The sequence below is a fragment of the Homo sapiens genome, chromosome 22 (genome assembly GCF_000001405.40).
Source record: "Homo sapiens chromosome 22, GRCh38.p14 Primary Assembly".
Classification (NCBI taxonomy): Eukaryota; Metazoa; Chordata; class Mammalia; order Primates; family Hominidae; genus Homo; species Homo sapiens.
Window position 1 is genome coordinate 49213822 of NC_000022.11, and position 1842 is coordinate 49215663.

General features: G+C 52.6%; 1 pseudogene; it reads right to left on the bottom strand.

Annotated features, from left to right (window-relative positions):
- On the bottom strand, positions 1-454 carry RPL35P8 (ribosomal protein L35 pseudogene 8; annotated as a pseudogene).

Sequence of the window (1842 nt, forward strand, 5' to 3'; positions counted from 1 at the left end):
TCTCAGCCAGCTGTGCTTTACTGACAATGCACCACTCAGGCCTTGACCGTGTACTTCCTCAGCAGGGACAGGCGCTCCTTCCTCCTTCCTCAGCGGGGACAGCCACTCCTTCCACTGCTGCTTCTTGCCCTTCAGGTTCTCCTCGTGCTTGTTGAGACAGTGGCTCATGGCGCATGTCTTCTTAGGCTGCAGGTCCACGGGCTGGTACTTCTTGCCCTTGTAGAATTTCCTGAGGTTTTCTCTGGTTAATAACCATGAGAACACAGGCAATGGATTTGCGGACGACTCGGATCTTAGACAGCCTGGAGGCTGCACCGCCTGTCACTTTAGTGACACGCAGCTGGGACAGCTCCACCTTCAGGTTGTCCAGCTGTTTCAGCAGTTCCTCTTCTTCCCTCGAGGGTCTCAGGCCTTGATCTTGGCCATTGCTGCACAGGCGGCCACCGCCCGCTCCTGCTCTAAACATTTTTATGTCTTTTACCTTAAAAATATCTTCCTGCTAGTCTAACACTTTGCATTGGAATACACAGTGATCTAGAATTTCCATTTCAACACCCTGTCTAATTATTGTTTTCACCCAGCGTTTCTGCTAAACCTGGGAACTGATGGAGCTGTTTGACTGCTCCCAACTGCCACATTCATTGGCACATTAATTTATTTACTGTAATCCACACCTCTAACCCTGAACAAGGTGTTGGGAAAGGTGTGTAAATGTGTGTCAACAACACGCTCTAATTAAGCGTTGTTTCTCAACTGGGGGCACTTGTACCCCCCAGAGGTCATCAGGCAATGTCTGAAGACATTAATGCTTGTCATAACCCTTGTGTTTGTGAAAGGGTTGCTGTTGCATGCAGTAGGCAGAGGCCAGAAATTCTTCTAAACACCCCACAGTGCAGGGACAGCCCTGTCAGCCCTACAGAGAGTGACCAGCCCCAAAGTTAGGCGTGCCATGGTCAGAATGTTTGCCATAGGGAGCCCCCAGGCCACTAATCCAAGAAGACCAGCATCATCAGCCCCACTGCCCTCCGCACTTTGGGCTTCTGAGAACACCAGCTTCACAGTGGAGGTAACCCTGAGTCATCAGCTCCATGGGTTGGTGAAAAGATGCATCTCCCAGAGGAAGCTGAACATACACTCAGTGCTGGGCATCTTTTAGAGCTCCCTTCCCTGCCTCAAGCACTCAGCTGACTTGGAAAGAGCCACACGCGCTGGGACTGGAAGGAACGCCTCCTTTCCTGGATGCCCGTGCCGCGGTGCCCACTCCACTCACCATCCCTCCTTGTCGTCTTCTGGTCACCGTGTCTTCGGCAGGGCGTGAGTACCTCACCTGCGGGCTGTGGACGGGTGCTCTTGTGTTTCTGCCTGGGAGGAGGGTTTGGCACTGCTGCGGATGCAGCCTCCCGTCTGTTGGACTCCTCTACCTGCTCTGCTGGAGCACCCCTTGGCTGCAGCGAGGCTGGCCCTGGAGTTCGCTCTCCTCTGGGGTCATCCTGCCCACAGCTGGGGCCCTCTCTGGCTTAGGTGTATGGATAAGAACAGCCTTTTCTTGAAGAGATGAGGAGTCCCTTAGAGGAACGCCAATAGCGATGAAACCAGATTCTTCTTACCTGGTCTATAATGAAGCCAGCCAGGCAGAGCCGGAGCTCCCAGCATCCCTGAGACCTGACACCTTTTCCTCTCGGCCACATGGCCCTCCTGAGTCCAGTCAGGACTCAAGGCTGTGAAACTCTGCATGTCTGGTTCCCCCTTCTTCCTTCTCATTTTTTTCTTTTTCCTTTTCTCTTTCTTTCTTTTTTCCTTTTTTGGAGATGAAGTCTTGCTGTTGCCCAGGCTGTAGTGCAA